Source organism: Homo sapiens, chromosome 12, assembly GCF_000001405.40.
Source record: "Homo sapiens chromosome 12, GRCh38.p14 Primary Assembly".
Classification (NCBI taxonomy): Eukaryota; Metazoa; Chordata; class Mammalia; order Primates; family Hominidae; genus Homo; species Homo sapiens.
The window spans coordinates 120,168,156-120,189,700 of NC_000012.12; the positions used below are offsets into that span (position 1 = coordinate 120,168,156).

At 48.1% G+C, this 21,545-nt stretch overlaps 1 protein-coding gene across 1 annotated transcript in view, besides 1 other annotated feature; it reads right to left on the reverse strand.

Moving 5' to 3' along the window:
* The window catches only part of GCN1 (GCN1 activator of EIF2AK4), a 67,514-nt gene that overhangs the window by 40,954 nt on the left and 5,015 nt on the right, over nucleotides 1-21,545 (reverse strand). The window contains exons 3-16 of the mRNA NM_006836.2: nucleotides 16,669-16,732; nucleotides 15,957-16,088; nucleotides 15,414-15,522; nucleotides 10,697-10,795; nucleotides 10,470-10,604; nucleotides 9,529-9,597; nucleotides 9,292-9,400; nucleotides 7,988-8,062; nucleotides 7,591-7,719; nucleotides 7,007-7,057; nucleotides 5,916-6,014; nucleotides 5,498-5,671; nucleotides 2,014-2,166; nucleotides 53-145 (exon numbers count right to left, since the gene is read on the reverse strand). Coding sequence (NP_006827.1) covers nucleotides 53-145; nucleotides 2,014-2,166; nucleotides 5,498-5,671; nucleotides 5,916-6,014; nucleotides 7,007-7,057; nucleotides 7,591-7,719; nucleotides 7,988-8,062; nucleotides 9,292-9,400; nucleotides 9,529-9,597; nucleotides 10,470-10,604; nucleotides 10,697-10,795; nucleotides 15,414-15,522; nucleotides 15,957-16,088; nucleotides 16,669-16,732 — 1,491 coding nt within the window. The remainder of the gene's footprint in view (nucleotides 1-52; nucleotides 146-2,013; nucleotides 2,167-5,497; nucleotides 5,672-5,915; nucleotides 6,015-7,006; nucleotides 7,058-7,590; nucleotides 7,720-7,987; nucleotides 8,063-9,291; nucleotides 9,401-9,528; nucleotides 9,598-10,469; nucleotides 10,605-10,696; nucleotides 10,796-15,413; nucleotides 15,523-15,956; nucleotides 16,089-16,668; nucleotides 16,733-21,545) is intronic.
* Nucleotides 16,052-17,251: an enhancer, noted in NCBI's record as "MED14-independent group 3 enhancer chr12:120622010-120623209 (GRCh37/hg19 assembly coordinates)". NCBI's record gives its function as "activates an origin of replication core promoter dependent on BRD2, BRD4, P300/CBP and CDK7 cofactors, and independent of MED14, by STARR-seq in HCT116 cells {active_cell/tissue: HCT116}" and the evidence as "EXISTENCE:reporter gene assay evidence [ECO:0000049][PMID:35650434]".

Below are 21,545 nucleotides of genomic sequence, written 5' to 3' on the forward strand. Positions count from 1 at the left end.
CCAAAGAGACTTTGCCTCAATCCCGAGTTCAACTAAGCATGGAGTAACTTACCATCCTCTGAAGCCATGACCAGGAATTTCTCAGAAGTGAAAACCTGCTTTTTCTCATCCACAATCAACTGCCAGAAACTGCTCAGTTTGGCCTCTGCAAGAAACAAAAGGTTACCCCACGACGCAGCTCACCACATCCCCCAGAGCTGATCTACTCCATCCTGAAGCTGCTGGGGTGGGCTTTGCTGACAAACCCTCCTCTGCAGCAGGAGGCTCAGTGCTCTTCCATTTGGGGAACTGACCTCAGTCCTTCTGGTATCACCTCCTGTACGAAACTCTTCGGTGGCTCTCTGCTGCCTACAGGATCCTAGGTGAACTGCTTCTCATCCGGAATTCCCATCCACCCCAGGCGCCAAGCTGGAATACCTGAGGTTTACAGACTCTGGCTTTCCCTGCCCTTCCCTGACTGGGGCTGTTTGGACTCACACTGGGCCATCCCTTCAGGATAATGAAATCCTTCAGAGGCTTCAGGGTACCAGTTCAAATGCTTCCTCCATGAAGCCCTTCCCAATACCCACCCCCCCAACTAAAAGCAATCTCTCCTTCAAAACTGCTCTAATGCCGCATTTTGTCTTAAGCTACGGATATATTTCTGTATTTCCTCGCGCCTACTGTGAAGTAAGCACCCTGAAATTTGCTGAAGAAGGTCATGTTCATCTTAGCATTCCCCCAGGTAGCCCAGTGCCTTGCATGGCCACAGTGAGCACACGATATTACATGAGGAGAGCTGAGCTCCATTCCTAACCAAAGGAGTTAAGTTCAGGTGTGTCCCAGTGCAGAGATTGGGAGATGAAATAAAGAAAGCCTGGCCGGGCGCAGTGGCTCACGCCTGTAATCCCAGCACATTGGGAGGCTGAGGTGGGTGGATCACAAGGTGAGGAGATTGAGACCATCCTGGCTAACACGATGAAACCCTGTCTCTACTAAAAATATAAAAAATTAGCCGCGCGTGGCGGCGTAGCGCCTGTAGTCCCAGCCACTCGGAAGGCTGAGGCAGGAGGCGGAGCTTGCAGTGAGTCGAGATCGCGCCACTGCACTCCAGCCTGGGCGACAGAGCGAAACTCCGTCTCAAAAAAAAAAAAAAAAAAAGAAAAAAAAAAAAGAAAAGAAAGCCTGAAATACGATGTAGCCACAAAAAATAATGAGAAAGCTCTTTCTGATGTACTGATTTGGAATCATTTCGAAGATATATTATATATAGTATATATATTATATATTATAAGTAATATGGCATATAGCGTATGTTCCCCAGCATGTTCAATTACATAACACACTATGTCTGGACATAAAATTGGTAATACTGTTTTTTCTTTCTTAGACAAAGTCTCACTGTGCCACCCAGGCTGGAGTGCAGTGGAGCAATCCCAGCTCACTGCAACCTACGCCTCCTGGGTTCAAGCGATTCTCCTGCCTCAGCCTCCCGAGTAGCTGAGATTACAGGCATGCGCCACCACACCCAGCTAATTTTTGTACTTTTAGTAAAGACGGGGTTTCACCATGTTGGCCAGAATGGTCTCGAAATCTTGACTTCGTGATCCGCCTGCCTCGGCCTCCCAAAGTGCAAAATTGGTAACACCGTTTACAGAGGGAAACTTAACGGCTACGGGAAAAGACAGGGCTAAGGGGAAGCTTCTCATGTTATATCCTTTTGAATTTTGTACTGTATGAATGTATAACCAACTGAAACAAACAGTCCCAATACTAAACCCTGGTCCATCTAGGTATCATCTACAAGCCTGTGTAGCACTGGAGCAACAGAATGAAGGAGGACAGTGACACAGTCCCCTGACTGCATTCCCACTGCCCATGCAACCATGAGGTTCATCCTGCAGATGACAAGCAAACCTGTGGCTGATCCAGTGTGGTCAGGACCAAGCTAATCCTGAACATCAAGACACACCTCCCAAGGACTCTTGTCAGAGGCCCCTGTCTCTACCATCCTAGACACCTCTGGACTCATACCAGCCTGTGAGTCAGCCACTGACAACTTTAAGAGCAACAAGGCTGCGGCAACCCCTTCAGTGATGGTGGGAACCTGAGTGCTTTGGGAGGCTGCCTTCTCCACTGTCTGGATGAGCAAGGGCAGTAAGTCCAGGGCCTGCAACAGCGTGTCACCTGTGGAGAGAGGACAAGCACCTTAAAGGACATCCTGATCCTTGGAAATGACAGGACTGAGAAAGGATTTATCTAACCAGCTGTGAACCAGACGACTAAAACCCTTCAGTTAATTTTTCAAATATCTCAAAAAGAAGTGAAGTGAAATCAAAACTTAAATCAAACTCTACAGCCACAAAATTAGAGGGAGAAAGATAATCCTTATGGCCAGGTGCGGTAGCTCACGTCTGTAATCCCAGCACTTTGGGAGGCCGAGGCGGGTGGATCACCTGAGGCTGGGAGTTCGAGATCAGCCTGACCAACATGGAGAAACCCCGTCTCTATTAAAAATACAAAATTAGCTGGGCGTGGTCCAGTTATTCAATTGATGGATAAGCAGAGACATTAGGTGTGTTGCTCAAGGTCACACGGCTAGTTGAGGCAAGTCAGAGCCACCCTCAATCCTGTCAATTCCCATCTGGTACTCTTCCCCCATACAGATGACCTTCGGACCCAAATTCTAAATTTGGGTCCAAATCTGCTGACCTCTGAACTAAACTCTTTTAAAAAAAAAAGGAAGCCAAGCACAGTGGCTCATGCCTGTAATCCCAGCACTTTGGCAGGCTGAGGCGGGGGGGATCATGAGGTCAGGAATTCCAGACCAGCCTGACCAATATGGTGAAACCCTGTCTTAGCCGGGTGGGGTGGTGCACGCCTGTAATCCCAGCTACTCAGGAGGCTGCAGCAGGAGAATCGCTTGAACCCAGGAGGCGGAGGTTGCAGTGAGCCGAGATTGTGCCATTGCACTCCAGCCTGGGTGACAGAACGAGACCCCATCTCCAAAAAAAAAAAAAAAAAGAGAAACCAGTTAAAACTATAGTTTGGCTGGGCACGGTGGCTCATGCCTATAATCCCAACACTCTGGGAGGCTGAGGCGAGCAGATCACCCGAGGTCAGGAGTTCAAGACCAGCCTGGCCAACATGGCAAAACCCTGTCTCTATTAAAAAATACAAAAATTAGCCAGGCATGGTGGTGGGCATCTGTAATCCCAGCTACTCAGGAGGCTGAGGTTGGAGAATCGCTTAAACCCAGGAGGCGGAGGTTTCAGTGAGCTGAGATCGCACCACTACACTACAGCCTGGGTGACAGAGAGAAACTCCATCTCAAAAAAAAAACTATAGCTCAAGCACATGTTTTCTTCCCCCCTACCCCAACACCTTGGTTTGTTGTTCCATGTTTCCATAGCTACTAAATGGGTACATCAGAACATTTCACAATGAAAGCAGTTTCCCAGATAATGTTTTATACTTGAATCCAAGAAATCTTTATTACAGAGGTTTATTTTCGTTTTGTTTTTAAAAGGTTTATTTTATATTATGTTTATTTTAAAAGCAATGAGCATTGAGTTCTGGCACTCTGCATTCCTTTTTTAAAAAATAAATTAAAAATAAATGCAACGAGCAGAACTAGCTCAAGCTGAAGAGACTAGGTAAAACCAAGTTTTTGCCATCTACAATTCAAAGTCCCACCTACAACTGATGGTCATTCAATGCAGCAATAATGCAAACTGATATATATAGTACATAGACTTTTTATATAATTTTTGGTAGAGACAGAGTCTTGCTATGTTTCCCTGCCTGATCTTGAACTCCTGGGCTCAAGCAATCCCGCTGCCTCAGCCACCTGTGTAGCTGGGACCACAGGCATGTACCACCATGCCCAGCTATTTTTTTAATTTTTTTGTAGAGATGGGGGTCTCACTTTGTTGCCCAGGCTGGTCTCAAACTCCTGGGCTCAAGCAATCCTCCCACCTCAGCCTCCCAAAGTGTTGGGATTACAGGCGTGAGCCAGCTCGCCTGCCTCATAGACTGTTTTTAAGTCATGGATGTGAGTTCACTATATCCCTAAGGCAGCTGAAAATGTATTGAGCGTACATTTCTACCCATGGAAAATCTATGACTTCAATCAGCACTACCTGTGGTTTGAATAAACCTCACAAACCACTGCACAAAGATGATCTATGATTCTGAGCTGGGAGACATATTTCAGAAAAAGATATATTGCTTTCAAATCAGTGCAAAAATCTCTTATGGTCAGATTCTTCTTCCCTTATCATTAAAAGAAATATGTGAGTACAAAGTTCATCAGACAAGACATTTCACACAGAAGGGGGTCCCCTCCCAAGAGGAGGCCCTGGAATCTCCTAGATGTTTCTTTTTCTTTTTTGAGACAGAGTATCACTCTGTCACCCAGGCAGGAGTGCAATGGCTTGATCTCGGCTCACTGCAACCTCTGCCTCCTGGGCTCAAGCGATTCTCCTGCCTCAGCCTCCCGAGTAGCTGGGATTACAAGCACCTGTCATCATGCCTGGCTAATTTTTGTATTTGTGTAGAGACAAGGTTACACCATGTTGGCCAGGCTGGTCACGAACTCCTGACCTCAGGTGATCCAACCGCCTCGGCCTCCCAAAGTGCTGGTAGGCGTGAGCCACTGTGCCCAGCCTCTCCTAGATGCTTCTTTAAATACAGTTCATAAGTTTAAATCTTTTTAAAAAGAAATACAAGCATATCTCTGAGATGGAAATCAGTAATAGAGGTTTATAGCTTGGAGACCAAGCTCCTATACAGATTTGAAAGTTTCCCCCAGCTCTGCTTGCCCAAATGACAGTAGGTTCCTCAACACTGAAGGAAGGGCGGTGGTCATTTTTAATAAGTCCAGAGTAAAGTTTACACGAAGTTGGATTTTTTAAACCAGTCTTTTTTTTTTTTTTTTTTCCAAGACAGAGTCTTGCTCTGTTGCCCAGGCTGGAGTACAATGGCGCAATCTCGGCTCACTGCAACCTCCATCTACCGGGTTCAATTCTCCCTGCCTCAGCCTCCCACGTAGCTGAGATTACAGGTGCCCGCCACCATGCCCAGCTAATTTTTGTATTTTTAGTAGAGACAGGGTTTCGCCATGTTGGTCTTGAACTCCTGCCCTCAGGTGATCTGCCCGCCTCGGCCTTCCAAAGTGCTGGGATTACAGGTGTGAGCCACCGCACCCAGCCCTTAAACCAGTCTTATCTGAGTCATTTCTCCATGATTTCAGATACTATAGTGACAAGTTCTGGTTCTGGTCCTCTCTGAATAAAGCTTTGTACTTTGAAAGTCTGACAAGGGGGAGAAGCCAGAATTTGTTGTGAAGACTGAATTCGGATTTTGGGCTAAGCCCAATGCTCTCATTTATTTCAGGAAGAATTAAACAGTGCAAAATAAGCTGAACTAACAGGGAAAGCGGGAACACTAACAATACCCTAAAGACTCAGTAACCTCTGCAAGGAGACCTGGACACTAGCCCTGGGAGTTGTCTTACCCCGGTAAGAGGCCAACATGCACTGCAGGTAGGCATGCCTCACCGCAGATGTGGAGGTTTTAAGGCTGAAAGCTTTTTTGAACCATTCAGTGAGCTTCTTGGGCACTTCCATAGTGAATCGGTTACACCAGAGAGCCAGGACTGAGACAGCGTGTACCAAGGTCCCTTCATGAACTAGGGCAAAAAGCAGAAGTCCAGTCAGTCCAATGTCTTATAACCATGTCAAATCATTGCAAGCAGTGCAAAAAACAAGCCAGAGTACAAGCGGGAGGAAGCAGTGATATTTCAGACAGCTACGAGCCTTGCTCTGAGGGAGGTGTGTCTTTAGGAGAGGTTTATGGAAGGAAAGCTCCAACTGTGAAAAACCACGGTCAAGGATGAGTACAGAACGCATGCTCACCATGTTGCACAGAATTACCTTCCTGCTGAAGGAACGGGATGAACAGCTCAGCCACGATCCCATTCAGGACCTGACTGGAAGGTCCAGACACCACGTGATGACTGACGCTCCCAATCCCTAAAAGGCAGATTCCCTGTTCAGTCTCTTATCAGCACAGAACCACAGAGGCAAGTCTTCCCACTGCTGCCACCTCCGCACTCTGGGTCACAGACCTCTTCTGTGTCTCCAGCAGGCATACCTCTCCTTTGGCCATTATTGATCTTCCTTCAATGCCCCCTCTACACCTCCTGCCTTCTATAGAAGCCAAGCCTCCTGCTAGACCTGAACAAGTCCCTCTTGTCAAGCAGGCAAGCAGCAGGGTCCTGGGAGGCAGGCTGGACCCAAGATCGTCACAGGAGTCAAGATGCAAAGAAGGCTTCGCCTTACCTAAGAATTATGTTAAAGCTTATCTACTACTAGGCCAGGCGCAGTGGCTCACGCCTGTAATCCCAGCACTTTGGGAGGCTGAGGCAGGTGCATCATGAGGTCAAGATCGAGACCATCCTGGCCAACGTGGTGAAACCCTGTCTCTACTAAAAATACAAAAAAATTAGCTGGATGTGGTGGTGTGTGCCTGTAGTCCCAGCTACTCAAGAGGCTGAGGCAGGAGGATTGCTTGAACCCGGGAGGCAGAGGTTGCAGTGAGCCAAGATTGTGCCACTGCGCTCCGGCCTGGCGACAGAGTGAGACTCCATCTCAAAAAAAAAAAAAAAAAAAAAGCTTATCTACTACCAGATCACAGCTCTACTCCTGGCAGAGAAATCCTGTACCTGCCTGTAATCCCAGCACTTTGGGAGGCTGAGGCGGGCAGATCACTTGACGCCAGGAGTTCAAGACCAGCCTGGCCAATATGGTGAAACCCCATCTCTACTAAAAATACAAAAAAATTAGCAGGCGTGGTGGTGTGCACCAGTAATCCCAGCTACTAAGGAGGCTGAGGCATGAGGATCGCTTGAACCTGGGAGGCAGAGGTTGCAGTGAGCTGAGATGGCACCACTGCACTCTATCCTAGATGACACAGCAAGACTTTCTCTCAAAAAAAAAAAAAAAAAAAAAAAGAAATCCTATACCTGAGAGGACGCTCATCTTCTGGGCTACAACAGTTAGTTTTCCTTCCGAGCCTGAGAAGAGAGACAGCAAAGATTCACATTCACATATGCCACATTTCCCAAGAGAGTGAACAATGCAGTCACGTGTGTGATGCCACGATACGGTTTCTGATTCCAGAAGTAGCCTTTGTGTTGTGAAGCTGGGTTTAAAGCAACTTTTACTAGCCTTTTGCTTTCTGACTCAAAAAAGAATGTTCCTACAAAAAACTTGAGAAACAGAAAAAATATAAAGAAAAACATTTAAAAGGCACTCATGTCTCCACTACTCAAAGACATTTCTTTTCTGGTGTATTTCCTTTAGTTTTTTCTGCTATGCCTACAAAAATGTGTATCTTAAAAACAAAAAACCTGAGATCACCCCATCCACACCACCCCGTGCACGGTTTTGTTCATTCACACACATTCACATTCCAGTGTGACGTCCCCCTGGCCACACAGCCTTGCCACAGGCAGACTTGGAGCATCAAGTCCCCTTCAGATCCCAGTTGAGGGAAATACCAGGGGCCACGCCTCAACCACCCGCATGGCCAAGAAGGCTTGCTCACCTCCGAGGATAGCAAATAGGTGCTTGGTCAGGGATTCCATGGCCGAAGAGTCACTGCACTGGCGTGCCAGGTTCCGCAGTGCCAGCACAGCTTCATCCATCAGGCGGGGACTGTTGGATTTCAGGTGACCTGCACACACAAAGCCACTGCTCAGAAGCAGCCAACAACTGAGCATCCAGACTTTCGTCTTTGTCTTTTCCATGCCCCCATCTCTTCAGTATTAGCTGTTTGCTCTCATTCAAATAATCTCAAGAAAGAAACTGCCAATGCCAATGTAGTTTAGGTTAGGGCCTTATTACTACCCTGAGCTGTCCCCTACCCCTGCTACAACAATTAGGACAAGTACAACCAAACCCAAGGTGACACTTATGGGCTGGAGAGGGGCTGGGATACTCACCAGCCAGTCCTTTCACGATGTCCATGGCATACTGGCTGAGGTCAAGCGTCACTGATGCCAGCAGACTAGAAATAGCTAAGGGGGACAGAAAGCACTGACCATGTCAGTCTAAGCAATAAATTCAACAGATAATTTTGTTCCCCTACTCCCCAGCAAATGCCACTAGGCCTGCTGTCTGGCCCTTCATCTCTACAGGCTACATGAGTAGTCCCAAAGCTCTGCTGAAAAGCTGTATACCTCCCCATCCCGATCAGCAAAAATTGCCTTTCCAACATCCCACCAACACATTTTACTAAGATACACAGGGACAGAGACTCAACCCTCAGATCCCATGATTTCAAGTGCCACCTCCATACTAAGTCCAGAATGTCTACAGAGGAGGTTCTTAACCTGAATCGTCTCCAGAAAGTTCTTTTGGGGAGGTGGAGGGGTAAGAGGATATTTTGTTTTCTTCCACTCAACTCTGAAAGTGAACACTTGATATTTTCTGGGAATCAGAACAATGGCTAGCACCTCCATAAAGCTATGAACTGATCCAGTGGGTTCTTGAACCCCTAAAATTATATGCAGTATTATTAATGGATATACTTTTGTGCATTCTTCTGACAAGACAGCCCATGACTTTTTCTCTTTCTTTTTTTTTGGACAGAGTCTGGCTCTGTCGCCCAGGCTGGAGTGTAATGGCATGATCTTGCCTCACTGCAACCTCCACCTCCCGGTTTCAAGTGATTTTCCTGCCTCAGTCTCCTGAGTAGCTAGGACTACAGGCATGTGCCACCACGCCTAATTTTTTTCGTATTTTTATTAGAGACAGGGTTTAACCATGTTGGTCAGGCTGGTTTCAAACTCCTGACCTCAGGTGATCTACCTGCCTCAGCCTCCCAAACTGCCGGGATTACAGGCATGAGCCACCGCGCCTGGCCTCTTGTTTTTTGAGATAGGGTCTCACTCTGTCACTCAGGCTGGATAGAGTGCAGTGTCGCCATCTTGGCTCACTGCAACTTCCACTTCCTGGGCTCAAGCTATCCTCCCACATCAGCCTCCCGAGTTGAGCTCCTGCGCTCAAGTGATCTGCCCACTGCCGCCTCCCAAAGTGCTGGGATTACAGGTGTGAGCCAATGCGTCTGGCTTTCAACATAATCGCAAAAGGTCCCCAATCTCTCTCCCAAGGTCCCAACAAGGTAAACAATGAATACATCCCCCTTCCCTCCCCCCTACCACACACACTTCTTGTTGCCAAATATCGAGAATAGAGATATAGGCAACTCATCTCCCTCCCACCATCCTGGTTGACAGCAACCTACTTTCAATAACATTCTCTGGACTCCTCAGTAAGGACTTCTGTATGGTGGGCAGTATCAGATCCTTAAATTCTGAGTGGGACAGGTATCGGAGCAGAGGGGCACAGCTATCCTACAAAGAAAAAGGAATAAGGCACCTAGCCCTCATGGGAACGGACCAAGAAGCAAAAAAGAGTTCAGCATCCCAGAATTGAAAATGGGATCAGTTGTCCAGGTGAGTAACGTCCACCTCTCGCTCACCAACAGGTACTTCGGAGGCTTGACTTTGCTCATCAGGATGTTCTTCATGTAAAAGTCCAGTAGGGCGCTCTAGAGAACACAAAGCTCTGGTTAGATCCTGACATTCTCAAGTATCTCATCACTGGCCTAAGGGGTCCCTCTTGTGAGAGTGCCTCCAAAAAATACAAATCAATGCCCCAAATTTCAGTGTTAAGCATAGAGGTCCCACTGATCACGCAACCCCACTTAAAACCCTTCCACAGCTTTCCATGGCCCCCGGGATAAAGTCCAAAGTCCTTCGTATGGCTTATAAGGTCCTGCCCACCACTCAGCTGGCTGCGTCTCACTCTAACCCATTCCTGCCACTCCAACCCCGCTCGCCTCCTCTCTGTTCCTGCCCACAGGCTGCTTCCTCTGCCCAAAATGCTCTGCCTCACCTCTTGACCTTGCTAATTCCTCTTCACTCTCAAAGTTCCTTCTTTAGAGTGATGTGTTCTCTGACCCACAGCCTAAATCAGGTCCTTCCGTTGTGGAGTCTCACGACTTCTCACACTTTCCCTTTGTAGCACATACTAGTTATAATTAGCTAGACTATCTGTTTAATGTCAGTTTCTCAGACTCAGTTCCATGGGGGCAGGGGTCATAGCTCCCTTACTCGCTGGTGTACCCCCAACACCGAGCACAGTGCCTAGAACATGGCAGCCACTAAATTGGGATGAATAAGTGACTGCATGAACAAGCAAACTATCACCCAAGCCAGAAACAGAAGGGAAACTTTCCAGCTCCTAGAAGTTCATGTATCATGGCAAAAGGCCAGAGTCTCACATGAGAAAACCAACAAGTTTCAGATAAGGTCAACAGCTAGGGTCACCAGGGCAAAGCAGGTTCCCATTCCTTCCCTCCAGCGAGCTCCCAACATCCCCAACATAGCAAACCCACAGTCACTCTGCCTTGGCACTTGCCTTGTGCTGACTGACCACGTCCATCTCCTTGTGACTCGTGCAGAACTGCACCAGCAGCCCCAGCATGCCAGCATAGTTCTGGTTGGGCTCTAGGCTGAGAATGGCTGACAAGTACTGTTCCACCAGCCCGGGGTTCTGAAGAGGAAAGTGCCAGGCAGGTGTTTAAGATGGCAGTGGGGGAGTGGCATGGAAGAAGCAATGCCCACCAGCCCCTGCAGTCCTGTCACCTCTTTCCACAGCTTCGTGAGTTTCTTCACAGCACCATCCACGGCGTGCTTGTGGGAGCCACCCAGCACCTCCAGCAAGAGCAGGCACTGCACTTCCACCTGCCAGGACCAGGGAAGACTCAGGTCAAGGTGGGACATGAGACTGAGGGTCCCATGGCTCTCATAGCCTGTAAAGACCTCCATCAGACCCTCCAAATCCTGGCTTCATCTCCACTCAGCCTCTCCCACTCAACTCCAGCCAGCTCCTCTTCCCTCCACCCCACACATTTAGTTCTGTCCTTTAACGACACTGTTCCCACTAGTGTTCGTTTAATAAATATTTGGTGATCACCTATTATGAATCAGACAATGAAGGCACAAGGGGAGGAAGACAGACATGGTCCCTGCTTTTTTTTTTTAAGACGGAGTCTCGCTCTGTCGCCAGGCTGGAGTGCAGTGGCACAATCTCGGCTCACTGCAACCTCCACCTCCCGGGTTCAAGTGATTCTCCCGCCTCAGCCTCCCAAGTAGCTGGGACTACAGGTGCGTGCCACCATGCCCAGCTAATTTTTTTTTTTTTTTTTTTTGAGACAGAGTCTCGCTCTGTCGCCCAGGCTGGAGTGCAGTGGTGCGATCTCAGCTCACTGCAAGCTCCGCCTCACGGGTTCACACCATTCTCCTGCCTCAGCCTCCCGAGTAGCTAGGACTACAGGTGTCCACCACCATGCCCACCTAATTTTTTGTATTTTTAGTAGAGACGGGGTTTCACCATGTTAGCCAGGATGGTCTCGATCTCCTGACCTCATGATCCGCCCGCCTCGGCCTCCCAAAGTGCTGGGATTACAGGCGTGAGCCACTGCGCCCAGCCGGTCCCTGCTTTCATGTACCTTAGAATTCAGAGGAAAAAAGAGATATTAAACAAATAAATACACAAATGAACATACAATTTCAGTGAGGTTTAAGTGCCATGCAGGTAAAGAATTAAGGGTCCTGTTTCATTTACTTCTTATCTGCCTTGACCTGTCCTTCATTAATTCCACAAATACTTACTGACCACTGCATGGCAGGCTCTATGCTGAGCACTGTGAATACAGAAGTGCATCTTGATATGGGGATTCGAACTGCATGGAGCTCACACCGTCCAACCCAGATTGACATACATAATAGGTCCTTGACTAAAAAAATCTCAGAGGCTGCCAGGCCTAGTGGCTCACACCTGTAATCCCAGCACTTTGGGAGGCCGAGGCAGGCAGATCACCTGAGGTCGGGAGTTCAAGACCAGTCTGACCAACATGGAGAAACCTCATCTCTACTAAAAATACAAAATTAGCTGGGTGTGGTGGCGCATGCCTGTAACCAAGCTACTCGGGAGGCTGAGGCAGGAGAATTGCTTGAACGCAGGAGAATCGCTTGAACCCAGGAGGCAGAGGTTGCGGTGAGCCGAGATCACGCCTTTGTACTCCAGCCTGGGCAACGAGAGCGAAACTCCATCTCAAAAAATAAAGGCCAGGTGCAATGGTTCACGCCTGTAATCCCAACACTTTGGGAGGCTGAGGCAGGCGGATCACAAGGTCAAGAGATCGAGACCATCCTGGCCAACATGGTGAAACCCTGTCGCTACTAAAAATACAAAAATTAGCCGGGTGTGGTGGCAGGCGCCTGTAGTCCCAGCTACTCAGGAGGAAAATCGCTTGAACCCAGGAGGTGGAGTTTGCAGTGAGACGAGATAGCGCCACTGCACTCCAGCCTGGTGACAGAGAAAGACTCTGTCTCAAAAAAAAACAAACAAAAATCTCAGAGACTTTATGTGCCATAAATGCCCAAGGTCACTAGTGAGTCGTGTGAACTGCCACCCTCAGAAAACAGATATGCTTGTGGCCGGGCGCGGTGGCTCACGCCTGTAATCCCAGCACTTTGGGAGGCTGAGGCGGGCGGATCACGAGGTCAGGAGATCGAGACCATCCTGGCTAACACGGTGAAACCCTGTCTCTACTAAAAATACAAAAAAAATTAGCTGGGCATGGTGGCAGGCGCCTGTAGTCCCAGCTACTCGGGAGGCTGAGGCAGGAGAATGGCGTGAACCCGTGAGGCGGAGCTTGCACTGAGCCGAGATTGCGCCTCACTGCACTCCAGCCTAGGCGACAGAGCGAGACTCCGTCTCAAAAAAAAAAAAAAGAAAAAGAAAAAGCAAGCAAGCAGATATGCTTGTGGAAAGCAATGCTGATAAATTCCATTTGCATGTATACAAAATGGCATATGTACAAGGTTATTCTTTGCAGAACTGTTAGTAACAATAAAAAACCGTAAGCAACAGAGGACTCCCTATATATAGCATAGTATAGAAAGGATTACTGGCTGGGCGTGGTGACTCACACCTATAAACCCAGCACTTTGGAAGACCGCAGCAGGTGGTTCCCTTGAGCCCAGGAGTTCGAGACCAACCCGGGCAACAAAAGAAAACCCCATCTCTAAAAAAATACAAAAATCAGCCAGGCATACACCAGCATGCCTGTAGTCCCAGCTACTCAGGAGGCTGTGACAGAAGGATCGCTTGAGCCCAGGAGGTCAAGGCTGCAGTGAGCTGAGATCATGCCACTGTGCTCCAGCCTGGGTGACAGAGCAAGATCTTTGTCTCAAAAAAAAAAAAAAAAAAAAAGAAGTCTGCAGAATCATGGTGTGTGTATAAAAAAATTTTTTAATACATTTTTTTAAAAGTAGGCTGGGCACGACCAGGTGCAGTGGCTCATGCCTGTAATCCCAGCACTTTGGGAGGCCGAGGCGGGCGGATCACCTGAGGTCAGGAGTTCGAGACCAGCCTGACCAACATAGAGAAACCCCGTCTCTAGTAAAAATACAAAACTAGTCGGGCATGGTGGCACATGCCTGTAATCCCAGCCACTTGGGAGGCTGAGGCAGGAGAATCGCTTGAATCCAGGAGGCAGAGGTTGCGGTGAGCCGAGATCGCGCCATTGCACTCCAGCCTATGCAACAAGAGTAAAACTCCGTCTCAAAAAAAAAAAAAAAAAAAAAAGTAGGCTGGGCACAATGGCTCATACCTGTAATCCCTGCACTTTGGGAGGCTGAGACAGACGGATCACCTGAGGTCAGGAGTTTGAGACTAGCCTGGCCAACATGGTGAAACCCCATCTCTACTAAAAATACAAAAATTAGCCAGGTGTGGTGGCATGCACATATAGTCCCAGTTATACTCAGGAAGCTGAGGGTTGAGAATTGCTTGAGCCTGGGAGGCAGAGGTTGCAGTGAGCCGAGATTGCGCCACTGCATTCCAACCTGAGTGACAGAATTACACTCTGTCTCTCAAAGAAAACAAAAAAAAAAAAACAAAAAAAACCACTCAGTGCAGATAAGCCAATGAGCTTGCCCCTTCTTACAAGGAGGCTTTTGGTAACAATGACACCCATTCCCTGAAGCAAATCCAAGAGAGTCCCAGCTCACAATACGTAATCCTTGACCCTCAAGGTTTCAGCATTCTAATCCATCATCAATCAATTATACTGACAGCCATTCCATGTTTGTCCCCAGAGGTGCGCTGGATAAGCTCCCAGGGATGCAGCCCTCTATCTAACCAGCAGGCTGCTTCATGGAGCGGTACTTGTGTTTCCTAAGGCCGGTCATCACTGGCACCTACCTGCCTGGGACTCTCCAGTTTCCACAGTCATCTCAACCCTCAACGAAACCTGGCTTTGCGACAACTCTTTGAGGTGGACAGGGTGAGTAGTATTTTCTTTCCCACTTTGCAAATGAGGAAATGGGCTCAGAAGTTAAGTGACTCAGCCAAGTCTCATGGACAAGAATCAGATCCAAGGCCTGGCAAAGTGGCTCACACCTATAATCCCAACACTTTGGGAGGCCAAGGCAGGCGGATCATCTGAGGTCAGGAGCTCAAGGCCAGCCTGGCCACCATGGAAAAACCCTGTCTCCACTAAAAATACAAAAGAATTAGCCAGGTGTGGTGGCAGGCACCTGTAATCCCAGCCACTCGGGAGGCTGAGGCAAGAGAAACGCTTGAACCCAGGAGGCAGAGGTTGCAGTGAGCCAACACCACTGCACTCCAGCCTGAGCAACAGAGCAAGACTCCGTCTCAAAAAAAAAAAAAAAAAACTACTCCTCATGACCTACACTAAAAAACCACTCCTCATGACCTACACTAAGCCTACCCAGGCACATGTCTGCTCTGCTCACCTCCCAACCTGGTGAGCAGACATGGGGAAAGAAAAAGAAGAGAATATGGAAGGAGCAGGTAGAGAATGGAAAGAGGGAATTTAAGAACCAAAACCAAGACAAAAAATCCATTCCATTCACCAGTTCAACACTGAAATCAAACACAGGGAATGGAATGATCAGCCAGAAAAACACCAAGAGGATTTACACTATGATATTTTCTAGTCTACTTGATTTTTGGCTGTCTTCCCAACTCTGGCCTGTCACGGCTTCCACACATGCCATGAAATCAGGGGCCTCATTTCTGTTGTGCATCACTGCATTTCTAGTGCCTAGCACCATGCCTGACAGAGAAGCTCCAAAATGTCTAATACACCAAACAATGTGATTATGCTGCACTCATGGCCATCCACCAAAGCCACACACCTCGGGACAACTCAGAGTGTCTGGTCACCCAGCACCCAGAAAAGCACTTGGCACCAAGAAGGTGCTGAAACATGCTCTAACTCCTGGCAGAAAGCTGACCCTTGCTACTTCAGAGACACAGGGAACCTACCAGTTTGTTCCAGATGTCTCCTTGTCGCTTGGCTCTCGATGGAAAGACAATGCGCACCAGGAGGCAGGTCCAGGTCAAGGCCAGCAAGGCGGCAGAGCCACTGCTCTTACTGCAGAGCAGAGTTGGGGATGAGTTCAGAGCAGCAGCCTCCACCTTGAGGACGAACACTGTCCCTAAGGCCCCGCCTGGTAATGCAGGACCCTCCCTTCACCTCATGGAACAGAACTTGAAACAAGTTCCCCACAAACCATCTGTGGCAATTCAGGACAAGAAGTCCAGGCTTCAGTGGCCAAACTCCCATCTCTTGGCACTGACAACTATAAAAACAAACAGATGGCTTCCACCATTAGGGGCCTGGTGGGCAACTGGTTCCCCTCAAAATGGCCTTGCTTCCACTGTTTCCCAACCCTGCTCCTCGGGAAAGTGGTTTTCTCCACTAAGCTTGCTATCCTGGCTCCTCCCTCTGGTGCACAGTCAACTGCATCAGCTTCTCCTGAGCAGGACTGTACCAATTCTCAGGGGGCCACAACTTTTACCTCTTACCTGGGAACACCTGCTTTGGAGCCTATACCAGAAGACTGCAGAGAGTGTAGAAGGTTCTTAGCAGTGGCTTCTGGCTGGGCCTCAGCCAACTGCTGGATGGCTGCCTGCAAGGCCCTGCGGGAGGCTGCATCTCTAGGGGGAGAGGCAAAGGAAAGGGTGAACATGCAGACCTCAGGCAGAGGCAGGGGCAAGGCTGCTCAGGCCATACACTGGTCTTTCTCAGGAGAAACTGATCACACCATATTCCAGTGGATAACAGAGAAGGGATTAGGAAATAACTAGATAAACTCACCTCCTCCTAGAGTTCTAAAAGTATCTCATAAGGGCAAATAAGCCATTGAGTGTGTAAGGGCAGCACCTACATTTATGGAGCAGTTATAAGGGTCTCAAAGTAGGCCAGACGATTTAACACACATGACTAAATGGCAGCATAAACACATTGACCACTATGGCACAGCAGGCAACTGTTCCAGGCACCTCACGCTTACTAACAACCACCCATGAGATAGAGAATGGCACCATCCCCATTCTGCAGACAAGGAAACTGAGGCACAGAGAGGTTAAGTAACTTGCCCAGGATCTAATGGCTAGGATGTGACATAGCCCAGATTTGGCACCAGGCAGTCTGGCTCTAATCTGGGCTCTAACCACTACTCTAAATCCCCTCTCTGTACAAAGTGCTCCACATATGGGGCCTTTGGCTGGGACTCACCTATATCGATGCAGAGTCAAGCAGAACAATTTGCAGAGCCCCTTCACTGCTCCCTCTGGAAGATCTGAAACCAGAGATTACACAGACAGCGGTCAATAAAAATCACTTGGTAAGCCGCTGGAGTCAGGTATTCTGCCCAGACATGATCTCAGCCCACTGGACACTCCCCATATATTTAAGACCTTCCTCCCCAAGAGGAAAAAGCAACAACAAAACAGGACTCTAGGAAAATGCCTGGTACAGAAAAGCTTTGGGTAGACATTTGCTAAATGAACGAAACTAAGAAAATAAAAGTGGCCTCGAAACCTCACATGCCATCAAGAGGAGGTTCAGGAGTGCTGGAATGGTTCTACTTCTTGATCTGGGTGCTGGTTATACTGGTGTTTAACATGTGATGATTCAGTGAGCTGTTCCATTAGGAGGCGTACCTTTCTTCACATACATTCTAATAAACGGTTTAAAAAACAGTGCAACACTGAAGTACTATGAGGGACCAGAAAAGGGAAGAACACCTATAACTGGAGTGTTTCTGAAAGTCTGAAGGACACATAAGCTTGGCCTATCAGATTAGTAGGCTCTGGAAAAATGGAAAGAGAGGGAGATACATGTAGAGTGCAGGGTTAAGAAGGCATAATACCTATTCAGAACACATGAAGAAGAAGAGAGGACTAATAACACCCTAGCTCTTAGTGCTTACAAGATGCCAGACCCTGCTCTAGATCATTCATACACATTCACTCATTTAATCCATGTAAGGTGGGCAGTGTTATTAAGGCCCCCCCGCCTTTTATTTTTCAGACGGAGTCTCACTCTATCGCCCCGGCTGGAGTGCAGTAGTGCGATCTCGGCTCACCGCAACCTCCGCCTCCCAGGTTCAAGTGATTCTCCTGCCTCAGCCACATGAGTAGCTGAGACTAAAGGTGCGCACCACCACGCCCAGTTAATTTTTGTATTTTTAGTAGAGACAGGGTTTCACCACGTTGGCCATGCTGGTCTCAAACTTGTGACCTTGTGATCCACCTGCCTCAGCCTCCCAAAGTGCTAGGATTACAGGCGTGAGCCATCGCACCCGGATTAAGCCCATTTTTAAATGAAGAAACCAAGTAATGGGAAACCAAGCCAGCCAGTCAGAGTGAAACAGATACACCCTAACTCTGGAGTGAAACAGATACACTCTAACTCTGGGCAGAAAGAGTTCAACTCTTGGTTGAACAAGAGTGCTCAATATGGCTGGGGGCAGTGGCTCACGCCTGTAATCCCAGCACTTTGGGAGGCCAAGGTGGGAGGATAACTTGAGGTCAGGTCAGGAGTTCAAGACCAGCCTGGCCAACACGGTGAAACCCCGTCTCTCCTAAAAATACAAAAATTACCTGGGCATGGTGGCACGTGTCTGTAATCCCAGTTACTCAGGAGGCTAAGGTGGGAGGATCACCTAAGCCTGGGAGATTGAGGCTGCAAAGAGAATCGCTTGAACCCAGAAAGTGGAGGTTGCAGTGAGCAGAGATGGCGCCACTGCACTCCAGCCCAGGAGACAGAGCGAGACTCCATCTCAAAAAAAAAAAAAGAGTGCTCAATAATGTTGGAAAGCCAACCTGTGACAAGTGCTGCATGACACAGTGAAGCACGCAAACAAAAGGGAGGAGCTTCTGAGGAGGAGGAAATTTAACCTGCAGTGTAAGACAGACTTATACTGGGTGTAGGAAGAACCTGAGAGCAGGAGGCCCATACCATTCCTCACACTTCAGGCACCTGAATGATGGAAGAGAAATGAATGAGGTACAGGGACGCAGTTTCCCCAGGGCCCTGACCACTGCATTGGTCCATGTGATTTGGGGCTATTTCAGTAACTGGGGAAAAAGAATGACTGGGGCCAGAAACAGGTTGTGGCTAAGACAATGACAATAACAGCTAACACACACTGTGAGCTTACCATACCCAGACAATGCGTTACATTTACTCCAACCTATCAGGGAAGTACTACTGCTATCTCCATGTTCAAAGCAAAGAAACAGGCTCAGAGAGGTGAAGTAACTTGAAGCAGGTCACACAGCCTGTAAGTGGCACAGCCCATCTGAGCCCTTCATCACTGACTGCTGCACTAGAGGCCTGTGACTGGAAAGATCGGTATCACATGGCTGCCTTTTCTAACTAGAGGGCTCTGCTGGGAAAGTGACCAGAAAAACCGTCGAGGATGCCATAAAACTCATACATTGAAGCATTAACACACAAGAGACTCTCTGAGACGCTCACAAATAGCAAGTTTACAAGCTTGGGTATCTTACTAGGCATAAGCAGGTCAGAAGCAGCAAATGAGAAGTTGGGTGAAGTGGTAGAAATAGGAAGTAAAAGTGGACAGAAAGGGAGACCCAATCTATATGGCCATGATTTTCTTTTTTTTTTTTTTTTGAGACAGAGTTTCGTTCTTGTTACCCAGGCTGGAGTGCAATGGCGCAATCTCAGCTCACTGCAACCTCCGCCTCCCAGGTTCAAGCGATTCTCCTGCCTCTGCCTCCCAAAGTAGCTGGGATTACAGGTGCCCACCACCACACCCAGCTAATTTTTTTGTATTTTTAGTTGACACGGGGTTTCACCATGTTGGCCAGGCTGGTCTTGAACTCCTGACCTCAGGTGATCCATCCTCCTCGGCCTCCTAAAGTGCTGGGATTCCAGGTGTGAGCCACCAAGCCCAGCCATGGCCATGGTTTTCAAACTTTAGTAAACATAGGAATCACCTAAAGGACTCGTTAAAACACAAATGCTGGGTTCTGTGCCCAAACTTTTTTTTTTGACACAGGGTCTCACTCTGTCACCCAGGCTGGAAAGCAGTAGCACAATCATGGACCACTGCAGCCTCAACCTCCTGGGCTCAAGCGATCCTCCCACCTCTCAACCTCCCAAGTAGCTGGGGCTACAGCACCTCCAGGATTTCCGATTTGAGTTGCTCCAATGGAGCTGAGAATTTTTATCTCTAACAAGTTCCAAGATGATGCTGATGCTGCCTGTCCAGGGACCACACTTTGAGAGCCAATGCTATACGGTAAAAACAAACATACCAAAAGAAATGAAAAAAAAAAAAAACAAAAAACTAGAATTTATTGAGTGAAGGCAAAATGGTCTTACTCTAATAAGTCATAGAGCTATCCCTTGGTTATGGTGCAGATCAGGATAATCAGATATGCTCAGCATTTCCCAAAATGTGTTCCCCAGACCCTCAACAGATTTTCAGCAAAAAAGAGGTTCAAAGAAAACACTGAATCCAAGGAAGCTTAATAAAGTGAAAACACCTTGTTGCGAATATTCCAAGAGGACATCAAAAACATGACCTCTAGGCTGGGCATGGTGGCTGACGCCTGTAATCCCAGCACTTTGGGAGGCCAAGGCAGGCGGATAACCTGAGATCAGGAGTTCAAGACCAGACTGGCCAACATGGTGAAACCCCATCTCTACTAAAAATACAAATATTAGCTGGGCGTGGTAGCAGGTGCCTGTAATCCCAGCTACTTGGGAGGCTGAGGCAGGAGAATCACTTGAACCCGGGAGGCGGAGGTTGCAGTGAGCAGAGGTCGCGCCACAGCACTCCAGCCTGGGTGACAGAGGGAGACTCTGTCTCACCAAAGAAAAAAAAAAAAAAAAAACCTCTCCCAACTTATTTGATCTTGGAATCCTTTATTGGCCAATCACCTACTACCATGGTGCTGACTTCCACGGAACACAGATTGGGAAAAATGATATCCCAAGTCATAAAAAAAATGTTTTTGGCTGGGCGCGGTGGCTCACACCTGTAATTCCAGCACTTTGGGAGGATCACAAGGTCAGGAGATCGAGACCATCCTGGCTAACACGGTGAAACCCTGTCTCTACTAAATATACAAAAAATTAGACAGGTGTGGTGGTGGGCACCTGTAGTCCCAGCTACTCCAGAGGCTGAGGCAGAAGAATGATATGAACCCGGGAAGCAGAGCGTGCAGTGAGCTGAGATCATGCCACTGCACTCCAGCCTGGGCAACACAGTGAGACTCCGTCTCAAAAAAAAAAAAAAAAGTTTTTGTACTCTGTATACTACTTGAGAAAGGTTTTAGCTATCTTTTTTAAATATTTCCAAACAAAATGGTTAAAAGTGTAAATAGCTTTCACACCTGAATGGATAAACTCTCCATGAACCCAAAAGTTTTAACTGTTGCAATTCACACTATAGCAAGGAAATAAAGTAAAGGCAGAAGTTGTGCAGGGAGGGGGGAAGAAGGCCATGGTTCCTTTTTTATTTGAGACGGAGTCTTGCTCTGTCGCCCAGGCTGGAGTGCAGTAGCACGATCTCAGCTCACTGCAACCTCCACTGCCTCCCAGGTTGAAGCGATTCTCCTGCCTCAGCCTCCTGAGTAGCTAGGATTACAGGCGTGCGTCACCATGCTCAGCTAATTTTTGTGTTTTCAGTAGAGACAGGGTTTCACCATGTTGGTCAGGCTGGTCTCGAACTCCTGACCTCGTGATCCACTCGCCTCGGCCTCCCAAACTGTTGGGATTACAGGCGTGAGCCACCACACCCAGGCTTTTTTTTTTTTTTTTGAGTCTCACTCTGTTGCCCAGGCTAGAGTGCAGTGGCATAATCTCGGCTCACTGCAACCTCCACCTCCCAGGTTCAAGCAATTCTCCTGCCTCAGCCTCCCTAGTAGCTGGGATTACAGGTGCACACCACCACACCTGGCTAATTTTTGTACTTTTTTTTTTAATAGAGACGGGGTTTCACCATGTTGGCCAGGATGGTCTCAAACTCCTGACCTTGTGATCTGTTGACCTCAGCCTCCCAAAGTGCTGGGATTACAGGCGTGAGCCACCGTGCCTGGCCAAGGCCATGGTTCTAAAGAAAGGCAATTTCAGCT